The following is a 22,911-nucleotide window of genomic DNA, read 5'->3' as shown; positions in this document are numbered from 1 at the left end:
ACAAATAAGAAGAATAAGTTGAACATACAAAGAAACAAAAGGGCAGAGTTATTACTATACAGCCCTGGCCAAAATACACACCATGGATCCTATCCAATCCTAAAGTTTTGGGAATATCCTAAAAACAATGTTCCCCTAATATCATTGATGAATTTCCTGCTAATCTTTTTGCCTTTTTCATTCTTCAGGGAGTAATTTCTTATCCTTTTTTCCTTTCGGTTTTGTTCATTTTTATACCAGTAATATATACGATGAATATATACAGTAAAAAATGAGGCCGGGCGTGGTGGCTCATGAATGTAATCCTAGCACTTTGGGAGGCCAAGGCGGCTGGATCACTTGAGGTCAGGAGTTCGAAACCAGCCTGGCCAACATGAGGAAACCCTGTCTCTACTAAAAATACAAAAAAACTTGCTGGGCATGGTGGTGGGTGCCTGTAATCCCAGCTACTTGGGAGGCTGAGGCAGGAGAATTGCTTGAACCAAGAAGGTGGAGGTTGCAGTGAGCCCAGATCGCACCACTGCACTCCACCCTGGGCAACAGAGCAAGTCTCCATCTCAAAACAAAACAAAAAACGAAATTCTTCCTCTCCGCCCCAATTACTGTTAATAGTTTGGTATGTATCCTCCCAGCCATTTTTCTATATAGTTATGTACATATATGTATATAGATAATTAAGTAGTTTTTATATAAATGAATCATAGGGAAAATATGGTTGTCTTACTTTTCTACTTAAGATATATTTGTGCATACAGATCAACTTCATTCTACTATTTTTACTATCTGTATGATATGGAGATGGAGGGTGTGTGTGTGTGTGTGTGTGTGTGTGTGTGTGTGTGTGAGTGTGTGCATGTCTCCTAGTTAACCATTCCTCTCTTAATGGAAGTACAGGATATTTCCAAATTTTTGCTTTTATAAACAACACAGCAATAAACATCCTTGGCTATATCTCTTAATATACGCATATGAGTTTTTTAAAGATGTTTAGAGCCACTTAGTAAATTGGCATATACTCTAAAAATATTGGTTCATACTGCCAAGGTGCCTTCTGAGAAAGATGTATTGATTACATTCCTACAACAACATATGAAAGTAAGCATTTTCCTACACCCTTGCCAATACTGGATTATATCAAGCTTTTAAACTTTTACTATCATGGGTGCAAATATATTATTGTTTTATTTTATAACAACTGCAAACCAAAGAAAATACAACTGCTAGCTATATTTATGCTTAGGGCATAAGAAAGGCTAACAAAGTGAGAAATTATCAAAATGAGAACTTCTAAACTCCAAATTTTACCAGCAACTGTATTTATTGATGTTTCCTCACAACCATGTTTATTTTATGATTATTTTAAAACAACTATGCATATTATGAGTGTAGCTGAGATAGGGAGCAGGGAAGAAGTAAACCGTAGACAAAAGGAGAAAGGCAGAAGAAAAGCCAATGGAGGATTTTAGAACTGGAAGAGAAAACAGTTGTCATCTAAATGAACCCCTTCCTTTTACAGATAAGGAAATGGACACGGTTGCAAACCTGTAGAAGAGGGAAAGACTCCAATCTTCTTGTTCTCAGTCTGGTGCTCTGTTCACTATAAAAGTCTGCCAGAAGGGAAGTCAAACTGGGAAAACCTAAGAAAGGAAACTGTGAAAGACAAAGCCTACAGGAGGGGGTAGCAGATTAATTTTTAATTAGCCCCTTAGAAACCGAAAGAAGCTTGATACCTTACGCAGCTTTTGTAACACTACTAAGGACATCAGTGCAAAATAAGGCCTGTATGACATGTATCTGCTCACACATCAAGTGACTAAGTGTCATAAGCCCTCATATACTCTCTGCAGGTGCTCTCCTTGGTGCTGGAGAAAATGGGAAAGTGTATTAAATGTTATTAATGTCCCTGTAAATTCTGTATCAGATTGAGAACTGTGATTTGTGTTTATATAATTCCTTTTTATTTTTAGTGTATGTATTTTAGGGCTATTATGCTTTACAGTGATCATTGATCAATGGATCTCTACTCCTGAAATAAATTGAGTCTCAAATGACTAGGTCCTTCTCTCAGAGACCAAACCTTTTCACTAAGGGATGGACTTTTCTGAATGCCTGAGAAACTCTCTTAATGGCTACCAGTAACTAAAAATGGATATCATAATAAAAACTGACTCACAACCTATTTTACTAGACTTCACATACACATGTGGTTCAGTTAGGAAGCTGACATCTCACTTAGTAAAGGTGTGGGCCAGACTGCAGCAGGTGAATGAGTCATGGATTTTAAAATTCTCTATTTCCCATGGCTTTAATTACATAGGGTTTTCAGCATGACACTGTATTTTATACAGATCAGGTCACAAATGAAAACTGAAGGAAAAAATAATCCGCTTTACAAAACCTTTATGCCTTTTTCCCACTCTCATTCTCTAATTAACAAATAAGCATTTTCCAACCTAAGACATCAAAACCTTTGGCATGTTAGTTACAATCAAGCTGATATATCTTTGTTATAGTTGCATTAGGGTGAAGTGGAATATGATTAAACATAGCATTGTATTGAAATTATAACATAGCACTGCAATTTGAAAATTTTGACCACTGTATGGTCAGAACTACCTATTGAACATCTGAATCTAACCTTCTAATTTTATAGGTGAAGGGGAAAAAAAGTCACAGAGAAGTACGATAATAAAGTTAGGTTTAGAAACTTTCCTCTGGTCCAGTCTAATGTACTTTTACAACTCATCATTTCAAAAGAGTTATAAATGAGAATCTGTCGAAACAAGAAAAAGAAAGAGAAGGAGAGATAGAGAAAGAGAGAGAGAGACGAGGGAGGGAGAGAGTTGGAAGGGGGAGAGGGAGGGAGGGAGGTAGAGAGAGACAGAAGGAGGGAGGTAGAGAGAGAAAGAGAGAGAGATTGAAAAACAATTTGTTTCAGAAAAGTATTGCTGAGATGAACTGAGAATAATGGTCAGGGTTAGGAGCAGGAAGCTACTCAAAAGAGAAGCATCCAAATCTACACTGAATATTTCAGAAACATTTGTTTTGTCACAGGCGTCTGAACCAAAGCCACTCCATTTTGAATACAGGCTGGGTAAAATAAGACTGAGACCTACTGGGCTGCCTTCCCAGAAGGTTAGGCATTCTTAGGATGAGATAAGAGGTCGGCACAAGATACAGGTCATAAAGACCTTGCTGATAAAGCACGTTTGCAGTAAAGAAGCTGGCCAAATCCCACTAAAATAGGATGGCGATGAGAATGACCTCTGGTGGTCCTCACCATTACAGTCCCACCAGCACCATGACAGTTTACAAATACCATGGGAATGCCAGGAAGTTACTCTATATGGTCTAAAAAGGGGAGGCATGAATAATCCACCCCTTGCTTAGCATATGATCAAGAGATAACCATAAAAATAGGCAACCAGCAGCCCTTGGGGCTGCTCTGCCTATGGAGTAGCCATTTTTTCATTCCTCTACTTTCTTAATAAACTTGCTTTCATTTCACTATATGGACTCGCCCTGAATTCTTTCGTGAGCAAGATCCAAGAACCCTCTCTGGGGTCTGGGTCAGGACCCCTATTTGGTAACAGTCCTACAAGCCAAATTTCCTGCAAGGTGTTAAGGAGACTACTCCAAAAATAACTTTAAAAATTGTAGACTGCATGAAATAGAGTTTGAAGACTCTAAATATCTCCCCAAAAAGTCCATTTTCACTTCCCTCTTCCTCATTTGAAAGGCCATTGTTCTAAAACAGAAAAACAAAAAAGCAGGAAATGGAACTTTTTCAGATGCTACAAGCTGTCCACACTCCCACAGCACAGTGTCCTCCCCACTTGCCAGTGTCTATGGAAACTTCAAGTTGGGAAGTTCAAAGTTAAGGCATCTGTTTAGCCTTCAGCATTTATTCCTACATTGTACTCCAAGACAGCTCCTTCCAAACTTAGGCCAGACTCCAGTGAGGGCAGGCAAGGGAAAAACTTCATCAACAAGGAGGTCAAGGCTTTTTCAATGGATGGCAAGATCTCCTATTTCTTGTGTCTTTTGTGTATCAGTGGAATAGCCACTATTTGTGAATAAAACAACTGCCCACCCACCAGGCTTAGAAAATTATTCAGCAGCCTAGAAACACGGTAGACATAAACTCTGAACAGCATTCCACTACCAACATTCTCAGTGATGTCATCCTCAGCGACCTAGTTAGAAGCCTGAAATGAGCAGGTTTTACAATGGGGTATTGAGAATGAAAGGACAAAAGTTTACTGAAGTGAACATTTAAACTCTTCATTAAGCTATCTTTCTCATCTTCTTCAGAAGCCTCCAGGCAAAAGCAGTCATTTGTATCTTTACTTCTTTCATCACCTCCACTTTGTTAATAAGGTACTACCACTGGAACTCTATCTCAGTTAACCGCTTAGTTACTTCAGGTATCCACTCAATGAAATAATATAATGGTATTTACTATTGCTGTTGTTACTGTTATTATTTTCATTATAAAAGACCAAAATAAATACCAAAATGTTGGAGAGTGGTTATCTGTGAATGGTGGAATTACAAGTACTTTTCTCTTTTTCACTTCTCAGTCCAAATTTTCTAAAATAACATGTAACACTTTTTAAAAACTATTTTTTAAAAGAAATGTGGCTTAAAGAAAATCTCAACAAAATACTAGCAAGTCAAATTAATCCATATATAAAAAGAATTATAGGCCAGGTGTGGTGGCTCATGCCTGTAATACCGGCACTTTGGGAGGTTGACGTGGGTGGATCACCTGAGGTCAGGAGTTTGAGACCAGCCCGGCCAACATGGTGAAAACCCACTTCTACTAAAAATACAAAATTTAGCTGGGTGTGTTGGTGCACACCTATAATCCCAGCTACTCAGGAGGCTGAGGCACGAGAATCGCTTGAACCTGGGAGGCGGAGGTTGCAGTGAGGGGAGATGGTGCCACTGCACTCCAGCCTAGGTGACAGAGCAAGACTGTTAAAAAAAAAAAAAAAAGAATTATATACCATGACATAAATGAGGGATATATACCAAGTATGCAAGACTGGTTCAACATTTGAAAAATCAGCTAATATAATTTATCTACATCAACAGGCTAAAGAGGAAAAATCACAATAGATACAGAAAAATCACCTGACAAAACTCAACACTCATTTATTATAAAAACTCTCAGTACACTAGGAATGGGGTGGGGGGGAGCTTCCTCCACTTAATAAAGAACATCTACAATTACCTACAGCCAACAACACACTTAATGGTCAGAAACTCAAGGCTTTCCCGCTAAGATGAGGAACAAGGCAAGGATGTCCCCTCTCACCTTTTCTTTTCAACACTGTACTGAAAATCCTAGCTTACGCAGCAAGTCAAGAAAAGGAAATAAAAGGTATACAGATTGGGAAAGAAGAAATAAAACTGTCTTTGCAGATGATAAGATTGTCTATGTAGAAAATCTGAAAGAATTCACCAAAAAAAAAGGAAAAAAAAAAAAGAAAAAAACCTCCTGGAACCAACAGCAAGACTATAGGATAGAAGACTGATATACAGAAGTCAATCACCTTCCTATATACCAGCAGTGAACAAGCGCGATTTTAAGTTAAAAAGATAATACCATTTACATTAGCACCTCCAAAAATGAAATACTTAGGTATAATTCTAACAAAATACGTACAAGATCTATAAGAGGAAAACTATAAAACTCTAATATAAGAATTCAAAGAAGAAATAAATAGACATTCCATGTTGAGAAAAAGGCTCAATATTGTCAAGATGTCAGGTCTTCCAAAGTTGATCTACAGATTAACAAAATCCCAATCAAAATCCTAGCAAGTTATTTTGTGGATATCAACAAACTGATTCTAAAGTTTATTTGGAGTGGCAAAAGACCTAGAACAGTCAACCCAATATTGAAGAAGAACAAAGCCGAAGAACTGCCACTACTCAATTCAAGTCTTACTATAAAGCTGTAATAATCAAGACAGTGTGATACTAGCAAAAGAGTAGACAGATCAGTGAAACATGATGAAGAGCCTAGAAATGACCCAGGTACATATGTCAACTGATCTTTGACAAAGGAGCAAAGGTAATACAATAGAGAAAAGATAGTTGTGAACAAATGGTGCTGGAACAACTAGACATCCACATGAAAAAATAATAATAATCTAGACACAGACCTTACCAATTTTCACCAAAATTTATTCAAGATGGATTATGGACCTCAATGTAAAATGCAAAACTATAAAACTCTTAGAAGATAACATTTTAAAAAAGCTAGATGACCTTGGGTATAGTGATAACTTTTTAGATGTAACATCAATGTTAGTACCCATGAACAAAACAATTGATAAGCTGGACTTCATTAAAATGAAAAACCTCTGCTCTGTGAAAGAGAAGAGAAACCACAGACTGGGAAAAATACTAATAAAAGACATATCTAATAATGGACTGTTATCTAAAATATACTAAGAACCATAAACACTCAAAAATAAGAAAATGAACAACCTGATTAAAAAACAGACACCTCACTAAGAAGATATGCAGATGGCAAATAAGCACATGAAAAGATGCTCAACATCATATATCATTAGGAAATTACAAATTAAAACAACAGTGAGATTCCATACACACCTATTAGAATGGTTCAAGTCAAAACATTAACAAGATCAAATGCTGGCAAAGATGTGGAAGAACAGAAAATCTCATTCATTGCGGTGGGAATGCAAAATGGTAAGGCCACTTGGAAGACAGTTTGGCAGTTCTTACAAAACTAAATATACTCTTACCATAGAACCTAGCAATCATGCTCCTTGGTATTTGCCCAAATGAGTTGAAAACTTACATCCACATAAAAACCTGCAGACAGATGTTTATAGCAACTTTTATTCATAACTGCAGAAACTTGGAAGCAGCCAAGATGTTCTTTGGTAGGTAAAACAATAAATCAACTGTGGTACATCCAGACAACAGAATATTAATCAACCCCCCCGCCCCACCAAAAAAAGAAGAAAAACAAGAAAAAAAAAAAGCTATCAGGTCATGAACATACATGAGAGAATCTTAAGTGTATATTACTATGTGAAAGAAGCCAATCTAAAAGGCTTGGAATCAACTACATGTCATTATAGGAAAGGCAAAACTATGGAGACAGTAAAAAGATCAGTTGCCAGAGGTTTGGAGGAAGGGAAAATAAAAAGGCAGAGCACAGAGGATTTTTAGGGCAGTGAAACTACTCTGTATGATATTTTAATGGTATATACATTTATCAAAACCCATACAATATACAACACCAACAGTGAATCCTAATGCAAACTATAAACTTTGGGTGATAATGATATGTCAGTAGAGCTTCACCAATGAAAACAAATGTACTATTCTAGTACAGGATGATAATAGTTGGGGAGGCTACGCATGTGGGGAAGGAGTATATGGAAACTCTCTATATTTTCCATTCAATTTTTCTGTTAACCTAAAACCATGCTAAAAAATATCTATTTTTAAAATGTTAATATTATGTTGGTGCCATTTCACTGGCAAAAACTGCAATTACTTTTACACCAACCTAATACAATTAAAACAGAAAACTAAATAGCCACTGAGAAGCCTAGAGAAGATCTGGGGGTGGGGTGACCATCAAATGGACCAGGAAAGATAATTCTGCTTAAACCTTATACCCAGATTTGTCAACATTTTCATTCTCTGCCTTCCCATTTAATACCTTTAAGACCCTTCCTTCCCAATATGACTCCCCCTTTCTAGAATAATCAAAGTTTTTAAAAGCCCATTTCGATTTAAGCCCATGAAAATAATGACATCCAAAACAGCTAAGGAGCATTGTCAAAAGACAAGATTATTCTATTATCTTCTTCACTTCTTATTTTGGCTATCTCATCCTAACAACTACTGAGTTAGATTCCTGGTGCCCTGAATCTCCACTCTTGTTTTGGCAACAGATGTGATTAGAGACAAATCTGGATTAGTGAATTACTCCTTCAAGAGTCTAAAATCTATGCAGTTATATTATGTTAGAGATAAAAGGAAACTGAGTTTGGCTTTTCATTTTTTATAATAAAAAAAAAAAATGAGGCTCTGAGAAATTCAGCTACTTGCCCAAGATCACACAGCTGGTTGGTATGACTGACTGACATTTGGGGCCTCTGCTTCTATCTTGGTGCTTTCCTCTGTTCTGAATTGCTTACCAGTGGTCTAATCCTGGTTCTCAGAGGCACAGTTTTGTAACCGCCCAGTGGGTTCACTTTGCCTACTGCCCAGATAGAACCAATTTATCAAGAAAGGGGAATTACAATAGAGAAAGAGTTTAATGCACGCAGAGCTGGCTGAACAGGACACCAGAGTTTTATTATTACTCAAATCAGTCTCCTTGAAAATTTGAGGACTGGGGTTTTTTAAGGATAATTTGGCAGACAGGGGACCAGGGAGTCAGGAGTCCTGATTGGTCAGGTTGGAGATGAAATCACAGGGAGCTGACTTCTACCTTTGACACCAGACTTTAAAAAAAAAGTAACATACAAACACTTGCTACCCTTTTTTCCCCCACCACAAAGGCATCTACTAGTCACCAACTCTATTTAATTTCACTACTGACCTCTCTGTAGCATTCAGCATATTGACACCCCTTAGTCTTTAAACACCGCCCTCTGGGGGCAAAATCACTTTCCACTGAGAGAAGCACTACTCTACACTCTGCCTTAACAATTTCATTCCATCTTTGGAAATTCAACTACTACCTCCATAAGGATGGCTCCTATGCCTAGATTTTCTCTACAGGAAATCAGTCTCACAGTTGCTCTTGGCTGATGTACTTCTCTACCTGGATACATTTCTATTATCCAAACCATCAGGCGTCAAACTGAACCCTTCCCCTCCTCATTCATTATCACTGCTACCTTTTTTCAGTGCCCCACATATTAGACACTATTCTAAGCACTTTATGTGTATACTGCAATTAATTATCATGATGATGCCAAGAGGTGGCTAGTATTATTATACCCATTTACAGATGAAGAAATTGAAGAAGGGAGGTAAGAAACCTGCCCAAATTCAGGCATACAGTACGTAGCAGATTTTAAACCCAAATAGTTTGATTATACAATCTGCCTTCTGACCCAACATTATTCTCCTACAGATCCCCTTCAAATGTCAACTTGTTTCCTCTATTCCCCTTAATGACGCCATGATTTAGGCAGTTATCAGGCTCCAAACTCTGGAGTCAAGTTTTATTTTCTCCACCAGATAATAGGTCTCTTGACTTACTACTACCTCAAGGAAAAATTATGACACTTTAACTAAGGGCCCTGCAAAAAACAGTGGGCAATACATTCTGACTGAAGGTCAGAGGCTATCCCACATGTGTCCCTTTACCAGTCTGGCTGCAGAGATGTTGCCCCATATACATGAAAATCCCCTTCTTTTATTTGTATTCCCTTCCAAATACTCCCTGCTAAACACCTAGACCCATCTTCGAGGCTCCACTTTAGCACCCCCTGCTCACCCCATTTAGACCTTTTAACCTAGTCCCACTGCCCCCTGCACCACTAATTTGCTAAAACAAAATTCAAAGTCACAAAGAACTCTTGAGTGATTTGAGGACACTGGTTAGCATCTTGCTTCTAACTCCAACTTGTTCTTGATCAGCTTTCTGTCTCTTTTCATTTCCTCTTGGCCTTGAATCCTTGGCTTTCTATTCTTGGTCTCAAATCCCAGCTCTGGCCCCTTCAAACTTAGTGATTATATGTGCTCTTCACTCCCTCTGCCTTGGTGCTTGGAACACAGCTTTCTCTTATATAGTCTTTTTCTTGGCTTATAGCTTTGACTCCCAGAAACAAATGCTTTTGGATATGGTTTGGATCTGTGTCCCCACCCAAATCTCACATTCAATTGTAATCCACAATGTTGAAGGTGGGGCCTGGTGGGAGATGACTGGATCATAAGGGTGGAGTTCTCATGAGTGATTTACCACCATCCCTCTTGGTACTGTATAATGAGGGAGTTCTCACAAGATCTGGTTTAAAAATGGGTAGCACTTCCTTCCTCTCTCTCTTCCTCCTGCTCCAGCCACGTATGACATGCCTGCTTCCTCTTCACCTTCCACAATGACTGTAAGTTTTCTGAGGCCTCCCCAGAAGCCACTATGCTTCCTGTACAGCCTGCAGAACCGTGAGCCAATTAAACCTCTTTTCTTTGTAAATTACCCAGTCTCAGGTAGTTCTTTATACCAATGCAAGAATGGACTAATACACCCCCTATCTCAGTCAGACTACTCCATCCTTCCTCTACTTGTGGCCAGAATATTTCTTCATAAGACTATAAATTTTGGTACTTAAGCCCTAATTCTGTATTGTTCCTTAACAGCTTCATGAATATGACCCTATGCTTCTTCTGAATTGCCTTCCCTTCATGGTTCTCCCTCCTCCATATAGTCATAAATATACATGTCCTTGTGTACACCCACACCCACACCCACACACACACACACACACACACACATACACAGAGAGAATAATATAGGCTCAGGACCATGTTTCCTAGAGGCTTTGTACTTTAAAGGGCCTAATAACTGTGAAGTACACAGCAACTGTGCTCCCCAGTTACCTGAGACACAGTCACAGCTGACTGGCAAGCACCCCTTAACGTGAGAGATGGATGTCTAACCACTATGACTGTGGCATCGCCGCCAAGCATCCTCTCCTCCCAGGGCTGCTTGTTCACACTGTCAGCTGCTATAACTTTATTGCCATGACAACTTGATGTGTAACCCAGTGACATGACACTGAATTGGATGCAACAGAAAGCAGTTCACTGGGGATGCTGGGTTCACTATGACTCAATACTAATGCTTGCTCTTAAGTTGCTTCTCTTTGCCTGACCCCAGGGTGGCAATAAAGAAAGCAATCACAAACTTCTGAGCAAACAAAAAAATTCTGGGTGGCCCCTGCTATAGGAATATGAAACTAGAAGAATGTGTCCCCAGAGACACCCAGGACTTGTAACAACCAAGAATAAGGGTGAGAGCTTCTATTCCATCTTGTTTTCCTGCTTTCTTAACACCTTAGCCTATGCATAAACTAGAAAGACAACTTCTGCTTCGGGAACTATCGTGTAGAAGTGGGAGGTGGAAAGTGACACTGAAAGTTTGAGGGGCAACTATACAGAATTTATACTATTTTTAAGTCTTGACTTAAAATAAGTTAGACTTGAATATACAAAGAAAGCCTATTTTATCTGAAGATTAAAGCAATTTTAAAATAAGACTCAATCTCCATTCCAGTTCTCTCAAGCAGTTTCCCTATAAAGCCACAGTTATTTGTATTTTATTAAAACACAACACCAAAACAACTGCATACTGCCACAAATACTCAGGAAAGGGCACTGAGACGTAGCTCTCATGTTTGCTGAGTCTTCTTTCCTACATAGGGTCACAACGGTACAGCATATGGACTTTGATAGAGTAGAGAAAGGGGTTTGAGGACTGGTTCTGCTAACTCCATGCTTCTGAAGCTCAGAAAGGTGAAAATTTCTCCATAAAAAGTTTCTTTGTAAAATGAGGGTAATAATAACATTCTCATAGATATTTTTCTAAACTTAACACAAAATAATACATGGAAAGCACTTAGGGCTCTCCGGGCACACAGAACCATCAGCAGAACCATTCTGCTCATTAGAGATAATAGTAACTGTGAACTTTTATTGTGTGCCTCCCATATGGTATCTACTGAGCTCTCACAGAAGAAGAGTCCCCAATAAGCTTTCCTAAAGAAAAGAGGGAGCCTATGCCCTTGGGAGTTTAGATCTAATTTCCCAAGGGAACATCTAAAAGACTTTCCTACTCATCCTAGGCATTGAAAAGTAAAGATATCAATACTGAGGCTCCTTGCCTCAGTTTCAAATAAATGGCCACAAGGTGTCAAGGAGCAATGGCTGCCTTTTCTGATTTGATCAGATCTGACTGCCCAACATCTCAGGGTCAGTCTACTTCAATGATACAGAAGCAAAGTACAGAAAGCACAGGAAGGATGGGTCACATTCTGTTCCTCTGTACCTACACAAAGTCAGTCTATGGGCGTAGTTGGCTCCTCAATCTCACAACTTGCCTCTCATGGTATTTTCTCTTCTTTGTAGACTGAAACCCTACTCTACTCCCTTAAGGAGCTAACAACCTGCTTACCCAAGAACCACAGTGCTCTTAAACTAACTACAGTTGCTAACATACATTTAAGTCCCCAAAATCATCTTCCACTGTTTCTTATCTCCTCACAAGTTTTCATTTTCAGGATCTTCATTAATAAAAATATAGTATGATTAGTCCTCCTTTATAGATAAAACTGAAATATATGGACTCATGTCATCTGACTCCAATATTTGTGCTCTTTCACCAAAAAAAAAAAAAAAGCATGTCATATTCAATGTAAACTTTTACCCTTAAGTCTGAACAAATACTACATTGGAATACCATTCTCAATACATCTTCTATAGGCAAAAGTTAATAACTTCTATATAGAAGTCATAGAAAGGCAACTTACTAGCATCTTTAGCCTCGTGAACAAGTCACTTAACCTCTTAAATCTTTGTTTCTTCATTTATAAAAGGGGATCATAATGTCTAAATAAATGGGCTGAGTTAGGAAGTAGGGAGACATGGTAGAATCTATTTTGCCTGCTGCAGAGGTAAACAAAAGTCATTAAACAAGGGGATGAACATCAGCTGAATCACTGGGTTGAATGAAATGTCTCTTCGTAGGTGTAAAGACCTGATAAATTCTGCCCTTTGGCTAAATGCAGTCAATCAGGAGAGAGGCACTGTTCTCAAATTTTATATTTATATATATGTATAAGCATCTACATATAGATCTGAGGTAGACCGAGAGTTGCATTCTGCAGGTTTGGTCTAAGAATATCAAAGAAAACACCTTTTTCCCTGAGCAAATCTGATTTTATTTCTTTAACTGAATGAGAGCTTGAACTAACAGGGAAAGAGGAAGGAGGGGGACAGGAGAGCAGCAGGCCCTTAAATAAAAGTCTGGGTGATTTTATCACTATTATCACAATAAAGTTTTATATCTAGGTACCCCGGCTCCTAAATTAACTGTCAAATACAATCCTGCACTGGAAACCTGAAGCGTGGCTGCTATGGGGGAGTCCTGACAGCTTCACTCCTCTCTCCAGGTTCGCTGTGTAATCAGCCCTTCAAGCTTTTGGCAAAGAGTATACTATCAAGTCTCCTGTCAGTGCAGAGAGGAGCTGGAGCAGGAGGAAGAAGACATCACAAAGTGTTAATTTTATTAAGCCATTTAAAGCTCAATCCCTCTGCTTTGTAACAATGCTCCAGTCCACCAGGCAGCTTGGAAACCATGCCCACCTTAGTTTTTAAATGACTATAATCTATTGGTGCTGTGGTTCAATTAGGAGGTCTGGGGCTCCAGTAAGAAAGAGAAGGATAAGGTAAAGCTGCAGGGGAAGGGAGAAGAGGAGGTAGGGAGTGAAGAATCTCAGTAGCGTTTACTTTAAAGTGGGAATATATTTCCTAATGTGTTTCTTAAATAACTTTAAGTAAAGTTATTCCTAAAATAACTTCTTTATTTTTCTTATAGTTGGGCACCAAGCAGTTCTGCTAACTAGGGAGTCTGCTTCATAACAATAAACATACTTGCTTCAATGCATTGATTTCTTCTTTCTATTGGGAATATATGGACACACAACTACACACTCCCAAGGCAGATACATTTGCTTTGACTTGAACAGGCAACAGACCTATGCTGAACTACTGCCAGTTACTCTGCAGCCAGGCAAGTTCACTCACAGAGTGAGTGAGCCAACAAACCACACACCAAGGGATCCCAAAAGTGGAGACTGAACTCAATTTATTTGCAAGTCATTATCACTCAAACAGGTATCAATGGCCCTTTAAAACATGCAATTGGTGTCATTATTCCTAGGAAGTGTTAATTGATCAAAGCATAGAATTATTTATAAACAGGTGGCTTATTTTTCTCTACAAGGCTTGGAAGGTTTCTGGAACTTTGTGGGGAGGAAGGTGCCCTCACGTACCCTTGCCCTTCTGCTGGAAGTAAGGGTTATTCTCCGGACTGGAGGCTAACAGCAGCCACAATTTATAGGAGGCTGTACTCTGCACTTTTTTTGAAACAGGATCTCACTATGTTGCCCAGGCTGGAGTGCAGTGGTACAGCCATGGCTCACTGCAGCCTCGATCTCCTGGGGTCAAGAGATCCTCCCACCTCAGTCTCCCAAGTAGCTGGGACAATAGGCATGTGCCTCTATGCCTGGCTAATTTTTTTTTAATTTTTAGTAGAGATGGGGGGTCTCCTTAATGTACTCAACACTTTAAAAGGATTATCTCACTTATTTTCCCAACAACCTATGAAATATGTACTATTATTCCCTATTTTGGAACTGAAAAAAAAAAAAACAAAAAATCTGAGAAATGAAGAGATTAAGCACAGATTTGCCCAAGGTCAGATAGCATTGAGCTGATAGGGCAATTCCTGAACTTTTAATAATTGTAGTATACTGCCTCCTCCTGTCAGAGGCCAACATCAGGTTTTTAACCCTCATCCCTGTCAGGAAGAGAAAAGGAAAAAGAAAATTAATATTCACTGCTGACACTTCAAGTGAATGGTTGAAAAAACTGATTCAGGCAGTAATCTTGTTCTCTTTCAACAGTTTTATTGAGATATAATTCACATATTTTACAATTTACCCATTTAAAGTATACAATTTTGTGGTTTGTAGTATATTCCCAGAGTTGTGCAACTATCATTACCATTGGTTTTAAAACATTTTCATCACCCCCAAAAGAAACCCCATTGCTATTAGCAGTCACCCCACATTCCTCCACCTCCCTCAGTCCCATACAGTATTGAGTCTCTTTCTATCTCTATATATTTGCCTATTCTGAACATTTCATATAGATAGAATCATATATTTGGTCTTTTGTGAATAACTTCTGTCAGTAACTACTGATGGGGTTCAAGATATGCTATCCCAAAATATGACTGTAGGAGGCCAGAATATTCCATCCCAAAATACGCCTCTTTGGCAGAAGAATTGTTTTGAGCTGATTATTTGGAGAAACTGCAAATACAGGAGAAGTACTGAAAACAAGGGAAGTTACCCTTTTGTAAGAGAAATGTACATCTGTAAAGGAAATCTCCATTTGCAGGGTTGTCTCCCTCTCTATACCAGGAAGAGAAGGATGACTTCCAATCACTAGAAACTCTTTTATGTTATAAATGGAGAAGGCACCAACTTAAATCTGCATAATAAACTTTACCTTTGTTTACTATGCTTTTCCTGGGCATCTCCCCATAACTAGCCTTCCCTTCCATGGTATTCATGCCTGAACTCAAAGCTACCTCTTTGGGATTTACTTATCTTCCCTTAGGTATCACATGCACACACGAGGTATATATGTTAATAAACTTGTTTTTCTCTTGATAATCTGTCTTTGTTAAAAGGGTTTGTCTCAACTAAGAATGCTGAAGGGTAGACAGGAAAATTATTGTTCAGAATCCCAGTTTTCTAAATTGAGGTTCAACAATGGAACAGGATTCAAATGATAAAATTGTATCCATTTATAAGAGATAACCTTAGGTGAAAAAGGTAGGATACAAAGCTCTCTCTCTATATATATATAAAGCAAACTAAATATGGCCTGAAAAGGACTCTGTAATTCTATATTTGAGTCCTTGTGGATGAACTGTAACCTAACTTAATAGACAAGATTGAAAACTTAATTTAGGAGTATGCGCCTGTAACAATCACTGAGTCTTCGCCAATCCCAGCAGCCATATTTCATCCAGTCACACACTGCTGAGGGTTCAAACTGTGTGCAAATAAGGCAACTGCTGAACTGTAATGAATCCAGCTGTTTCTGTACCTCACTTCCAATTTCTGTATGTCATTTTACTTTTTTTTGGTCTATAAATTTGTTCTGACCACAAGGCATCCCTGGAGTCTCTCTGAATCTGCTGTGATTCTGGGGGCTGCCCGATTCACAAATTGTTCATTTTTCAATTAGACTCCTTTAAATTTAATTCAGCTGACGTTTTTGTTTAAACAAATGGTGTCAGAAGTGGGGTCTGAAGTATAGCTTCTAACGACCCCCAGGAGTGCTGAGTGAACAAGTAAGGTGCCCACAGGATCCACTTGTGTCCTCTGATCTCTCAGAGTAGCTGGGGAGTGTAAGTTGTCTCTTGGATTTTGGAGCCCCACGGATTTGCATTTTGAGCTCTCCGAGTTTCTTTGAGCAAATTTCTGAACCAAACTGGGTTTGGAAGTCATGACGGAAACTGGGCTGGGTCCAGGAATGGATTTGGTCTGGTAATTAATTGGCTTGGATCCAGTTAGAGGCCTCTTACATCTGACTGGGTCAGAAAGAAACTGACAGCAAATGGTAATATTTTAGGGGTATAAAATTTAGCTCTTAAAGATTTGCAAGGATTTTTTTGTTTCATCCCTTTGTTTCATTTTTCTTGCCCACTTAGGTAGGAAAAATCATTGGCTAGGTTAATCAAGGGAATCTGAGAGCAAAGCCAATATTTTATGTAAAAATGGGATACATAACTTCTGAAAACCTGAGTTCCTTCTGGCTTATGCATTAGGCACAGGAGGCAGCAAAGTCTCACAGAAAATGACAAAATCTTACTAAAGGTAACTTACAGTAGAATGTTCTGAATAAACAACAATGCACTGAAGTGCATTTACAAATGAGAGCCTCCAAAAATTAAATCTGCTAATCTTTCAGCTTAGTTACTATCCCCATCCAAAGGAAATAAACTGCAGCACCAATTGGCTGACTTTGGATAAGTAATGGGGTACGTTTTACCTGAGTAAAGGAAGGGATTGGGGTAGAGGTCCTCCTCTCAGTAAAGTTCTTTTTTTTTGGGGGGGGGGCATGGCAACATCAGTGCATGTTTATTTATTTATTTTAATGTGTTTTCATTTTTTATTTATTTTTTATTATTATTATATTTTAAGTTTTAGGGTACATGTGCACAATGTGCAGGTTAGTTACAGTTGTATACATGTGCCATGCTGGTGTGCTGCACCCATTAACTAGTCATTTAGCATTAGGTATATCCCCTAATGCTCTCCCTCCCTCCTCCCCACACCCCACAACAGTCCCCAGAGTGTGATGTTCCCCTTCCTGCGTCCATGTGTTCTCATTGTTCAATTCCCACCTGTGAGTGAGAATATGCAGTGTTTGGTTTTTTGTTCTTACGATAGTTTACTGAGAATGATGATTTCCAATTTCATCCATGTCCCTACAAAGGACATGAACTCTTCATTTTTATGGCTGCATAGTATTCCATGGTGTATATGTGCCACATTTTCTTAATCCAGTCTATCATTGTTGGACATTTGGGTTGGTTCCAAGTCTTTGCTATTGTGAATAGTGCCACAATAAACATACATGTGCATGTGTCTTTATAGCAGCATGATTTATAATCCTTTGGGTACATACCCAGTAATGGGATGGCTGGGTCAAATGGTATTTCTAGTTCTAGATCCCTGAGGAATCGCCACACTCACTGACTTCCATAATGGTTGAACTAGTTTACAGTCCCACCAACACTGTAAAAGTGTTCCTATTTCTCCACATCCTCTCCAGCACCTGTTGTTTCCTGACTTTTTAAATGATCGCCATTCTAACTGGTGTGAGATGGTATCTCATTGTGGTTTTGATTTGCATTTCTCTGATGGCCAGTGATGATGAGCATTTTTTCATGTGTCTTTTGGCTGCATGAATGTCTTCTTTTGAGAAGTGTCTGTTCATATCCTTTGCCCACTTTTTGATGGGGTTGTATTTTTCTTGTAAATTTGCTTGAGTTCATTGTAGATTCTGGATATTAGCCCTTTGTCAGATGAGTAGGTTGCAAAAATTTTCTCCCATTTTGTAGGTTGCCTGTTCACTCTGATGGTAGTTTCTTTTGCTGTGCAGAAGCTCTTTAGTTTAATTAGATCCCATTTGTCAATTTTGGCTTTTGTTGCCATTGCTTTTGGTGTTTTAGACGTGAAGTCCTTGCCCATGCCTGTGTCTTGAATGGTATTGCCTGGGTTTTCTAGGATTTTTATGGTTTTAGGTCTAACATGTAAGTCTTTAATCCATCTTGAATTAATTTTTGTATAAGGTGTAAGGAAGGGATCCAGTTTCAGCTTTCTACATATGGCTAGCCAGTTTTCCCAGCACCATTTATTAAATAGGGAATCCTTTCCCCATCTCTTGTTTTTGTCAGGTTTGTCAAAGAACAGATAGTTGTAGATATGCGGCGTTATTTCTGAGGGCTCTTTTCTGTTCCAATGATCTATATCTCTGTTTTGGTACCAGTACCATGCTGTTTTGGTTACTGTAGCCTTGTAGTATAGTTTGAAGTCAGGTAGCATGACACCTCCAGCTTTTCCTTTTGGCTTACAATTGACTTGGTGATGCGGGCTCTTTTTTGGTTCCATATGAACTTTAAAGTAGTTTTTTCCAATTCTGTGAAGAAAGTCATTGGTAGCTTCATGGGGATGGCATTGAATCTATAAATTACCTTGGGCAGTATGGCCATTTTCACGATATTGATTCTTCCTACCCATGAGCATGGAATGTTCTTCCATTTCTTCGTATCCTCTTTTGTTTCATTGAGCAGTGGTTTGTAGTTCTCCTTGAAGAGGTCCTTCACGTCCCTTGTAAGTTGGATTCCTAGGTATTGTATTCTCTTTGAAGCAATTGTGAATGGGAGTTCACTCATGATTTGGCTCTCTGTTTGTCTGTTATTGGTGTATAAGAATGCGTGTGATTTTTGTACATTGATTTTGTATCCTGAGAATTTGCTGAAGTTGCTTATCAGCTTAAGGAGATTTTGGGCTGAAACAATGGGGTTTTCTAGATATACAATCATGTCATCTGCAAACAGGGACAATTTGACTTCCTCTTTTCCTAATTGAATACCCTTTATTTCCTTCTCCTGCCTAATTGCCCTGGCCAGAACTTCCAACACTATGTTGAATAGGAGTGGTGAGAGAGGGCATCCCTGTCTTGTGCCAGTTTTCAAAGGGAATGCTTCCAGTTTTTGCCCATTCAGTATGATATTGGCTGTGGGTTTGTCAAAGATAGCTCTTATTATTTTGAGATATGTCCCATCAATACCTAATTTATTGAGAGTTTTTAGCATGAAGGGTTGTTGAATTTTGTCAAAGGCCTTTTCTGCATCTATTGAGATAATCATGTGGTTTTTGTCTTTGGTTCTGTTTATATGCTAGATTACATTTATTGATTTGCGTATATTGAACCAGCCTTGCTTCCCAGGGATGAAGCCCACTCGATCATGATGGATAAGCTTTTTGATGTGCTGCTGGATTCGGTTTGCCAGTATTTTATTGAGGATTTTTGCATCGATGTTCATCAAGGATATTGGTCTAAAATTCTTTTTTTTGGTTGTATCTCTGCCCGGTTTTGGTATCAGGATGATGCTGGCCTCATAAAATGAGTTAGGGAGGATTCCCTCTTTTTCTATTGATTGGAATAGTTTCAGAAGGAACGGTACCATTTACTCCTTGTACCTCTGGTAGAATTCGGCTGTGAATCCATCTGGTCCTGGACTCTTTTTGGTTGGTAAGCTATTGATTGTTGCCACAATTTCAGAGCCTGTTATTGGTCTATTCAGAGATTCAACTTCTTCCTGGTTTAGTCTTGGGAGGGTGCATGTGTCAAGGAATTTATCCATTTCTTCTAGATTTTCTAATTTATTTGCGTAGAGGTGTTTGTAGTATTCTCTGATGATAGTTTGCATTTCTGTGGGATCGGTGGTGATATCCCCTTTATCATTTTTTATTGTGTCTATTTGATTCTTCTCTCTTTTCTTCTTTATTAGTCTTGCTAGCAGTCTATCAATTTTGTTGATCCCTTCAAAAAACCAGCTCCTGGATTCATTAATTTTTTGAAGGTTTTTTTGTGTCTCTGTTTCCTTCAGTTCTGCTCTGATTTTAGTTATTTCTTGCCTCTGCTAGCTTTTGAATGTGTTTGCTCTTGCTTTTCTAGTTCTTTTAATTGTGATGTTAGGGTATCAATTTTGGATCTTTCCTGCTTTCTCTTGTGGGCATTTAGTGCTATAAATTTCCCTCTACACACTGCTTTGAATGTGTCCCAGAGATTCTGGTATGTTGTGTCTTTGTTCTCGTTGGTTTCAAAGAACATCTTTATTTCTGCCTTCATTTTGTTATGTACCCAGTAGTCATTCAGGAGCAGGTTGTTCAGTTTCCATGTAGTTGAGCAGTTTTGAGTGAGTTTCTTAATCCTGAGTTCTAGTTTGATTGCACTGTGGTCTGAGAGACAGTTTGCTATAATTTCTGATCTTTTACATTTGCTGAGGAGAGCTTTACTTCCCACTATGTGGTCAATTTTGGAATAGGTGTGGTGTGGTGCTGAAAAGAATGTATATTCTGTTGATTTGGGGTGGAGAATTCTGTAGATGTCTATTAGGTCCACTTGGTGCAGAGCTGAGTTCAATTCCTGGGTATCCTTGCTAACTTTCTGTCTCGTTGATCTGTCTAATGTTGACAGTGGGGTGTTAAAGTCTCCCATTATTATTGTGTGGGAATCTAAGTCTCTTCGTAGATCACTCAGGACTTGCTTTATGAATCTGGGTGCTCCTGTATTGGGTGCATATATATTTAGGATAGTTAGCTCTTCTTGTTGAATTGATCCCTTTACCATTATGTAATGGCCTTCTTTGTCTCTTTTGATCTTTGTTGGTTTAAAGTCTGTTTTATCAGAGACTAGGATTGCAACCCCTGCCTTTTTTTGTTTTCCATTGGCTTGGTAGATCTTCCTCCATCCTTTTATTTTGAGCCTATGTGTGTCTCTGCACGTGAGATGGGTTTCCTGAATACAGCACACTGATGGGTCTTGACTCTTTATCCAATTTGCCAGTCTGTGTCTTTTAATTGGAGCATTTAGTCCATTTACATTTAAAGTTAATATTGTTATGTGTGAATTTGATCCTGTCATTATGATGTTAGCTGGTTATTTTGCTCATTAGTTGATGCAGTTTCTTCCGAGCATCGATGGTCTTTACAACTTGGCATGATTTTGCAGTGGCTGGTACCGGTTGTTCCTTTGCATGTTTAGTGCTTCCTTCAGGAGCTCTTGTAAGGCAGGCCTGGTGGTGACAAAATCTCTCAGCATTTGCTTGTCTGTAAAGTATTTTATTTCTCCTTCGCTTATGAAGTTTAGTTTGGCTGGATATGTAATTCTGGATTGAAAATTCTTTTCTTTAAGAATGTTGAATATTGGCCCCCACTCTCTTCTGGCTTGTAGAGTTTCTGCCGAGAGATCCGCTGTTAGTCTGATGGGCTTCCCTTTGTGGGTAACCCGACCTTTCTCTCTGGCTGCCCTTAACATTTTGTCCTTCATTTCAACTTTGGTGAATCTGACAATTATGTGTCTTGGAGTTGCTCTTCTCGAGGAGTATCTTTGTGGCGTTCCCTGTATTTCCTGAATCTGAATGTTGGCCTGCCTTGCTAGATTGGGGAAGTTTCTCCTGGATAATATCCTGCAGAGTGTTTTCCAACTTGGTTCCATTCTCCCCATCACTTTCAGGTACACCAATCAGACGTAGATTTGGTCTTTTCACATAGTCCCATATTTCATGGAGGCTTTGTTCGTTCCTTTTTATTCTTTTTTCTCTAAACTTCCCTTCTTGCTTCATTTCCTTCATTTCATCTTCCATCACTGATACCCTTTCTTTCAGTTGATCGCATCGGCTCCTGAGGCTTCTGCATTCTTCACGTAGTTCTCGAGCCTTGGCTTTCAGCTCCATCAGCTCCTTTAAGCACTTCTCTGTATTGGTTATTCTAGTTATACATTCGTCTAAATTTTTTTCAAAGTTTTCAACTTCTTTGCCTTTGGTTTGAATTTCCTCCTGTAGCTCGGAGTAGTTTGATCGTCTGAAGCCTTCTTCTCTCAACTCGTCAAAGTCATTCTCCATCCAGCTTTGTTCCGTTGCTGGTGAGGAGCTGTGTTCCTTTGGAGAAGGAGAGGCACTCTACTTTTTAGAGTTTCCAGTTTTTCTGCTGTTTTTTTCCCATCTTTGTGGTTTTATCTACTTTTGGTCTTTGATGATGGTGATGTACAGATGGGTTTTTGGTGTGGATGTCCTTTCTGTTTGTTAGTTTTCCTTCTATCAGACAGGACCCTCAGCTGCAGGTCTGTTGGAGTTTGCTAGAGGTCCACTCCAGATCCTGTTTGCCTGGGTACCAGCAGCGGTGGCTGCAGAACAGCGGATTTTTGTGAACCGCGAATGCTGCCGTCTGATCGTTCCTCTGGAAGTTTTGTCTCAGGGGAGTACCCGGCCGTGTGAGGTGTCAGTCTACCCCTACTGGGGGGTGCCTCCCAGTTAGGCTGCTCGGGGGTCAGGGGTCAGGGACCCACTTGAGGAGGCAGTCTGCCCATTCTCAGATCTCCAGCTGCATGCTGAGAGAACCACTGCTCTCTTCAAAGCTGTCAAAGACAGGGATATTTAAGTCTGCAGAGGTTACTGCTGTCTTTTTGTTTGTCTGTGCCCCGCCCCCACAGGTGGAGCCTACAGAGGCAGGCAGGCCTCCTTGAGCTGTGGTGGGCTCCACCCAGTTCAAGCTTCCCGGCTGCTTTGTTTACCTAACCAAGCCTGGGCAATGGCGGGCACCCCTCCCTCAGCCTTGCTTCCGCCTTGCAGGTTTATCTCAGTCTGCTGTGCTAGCAATCAGCGAGACTCTGTGGGCATAGGACCCTCCGAGCCATGTGCGGGATATAATCTCCTGGTGCGCCGTTTTTTAAGCCCGTCGGAAAAGCGCGGTATTAGGGTGGGAGTGACCCGATTTTCCAGGTGCTGTCTGTCACCCCTTTCTTTGACTA

At 39.4% G+C, this 22,911-nt stretch overlaps 1 protein-coding gene across 2 annotated transcripts in view, besides 2 other annotated features; it reads right to left on the bottom strand.

Annotated features, from left to right (window-relative positions):
* Positions 1-22,911, bottom strand: part of TRIM44 (tripartite motif containing 44) — a 155,233-nt gene that overhangs the window by 92,097 nt on the left and 40,225 nt on the right. The gene's annotated exons all lie outside the window — the stretch shown is intronic.
* Positions 3,617-3,716: an enhancer, noted in NCBI's record as "active region_4627". NCBI's record gives its function as "activates an Ori minimal core promoter by ATAC-STARR-seq in GM12878 lymphoblastoid cells {active_cell/tissue: GM12878}" and the evidence as "EXISTENCE:reporter gene assay evidence [ECO:0000049][PMID:35858748]".
* Positions 8,693-8,742: an enhancer, noted in NCBI's record as "active region_4626". NCBI's record gives its function as "activates an Ori minimal core promoter by ATAC-STARR-seq in GM12878 lymphoblastoid cells {active_cell/tissue: GM12878}" and the evidence as "EXISTENCE:reporter gene assay evidence [ECO:0000049][PMID:35858748]".

This window comes from Homo sapiens, chromosome 11 (genome assembly GCF_000001405.40).
Source record: "Homo sapiens chromosome 11, GRCh38.p14 Primary Assembly".
Lineage (NCBI taxonomy): Eukaryota > Metazoa > Chordata > Mammalia > Primates > Hominidae > Homo > Homo sapiens.
This window is presented reverse-complemented; position numbering and strand designations above follow the sequence as displayed.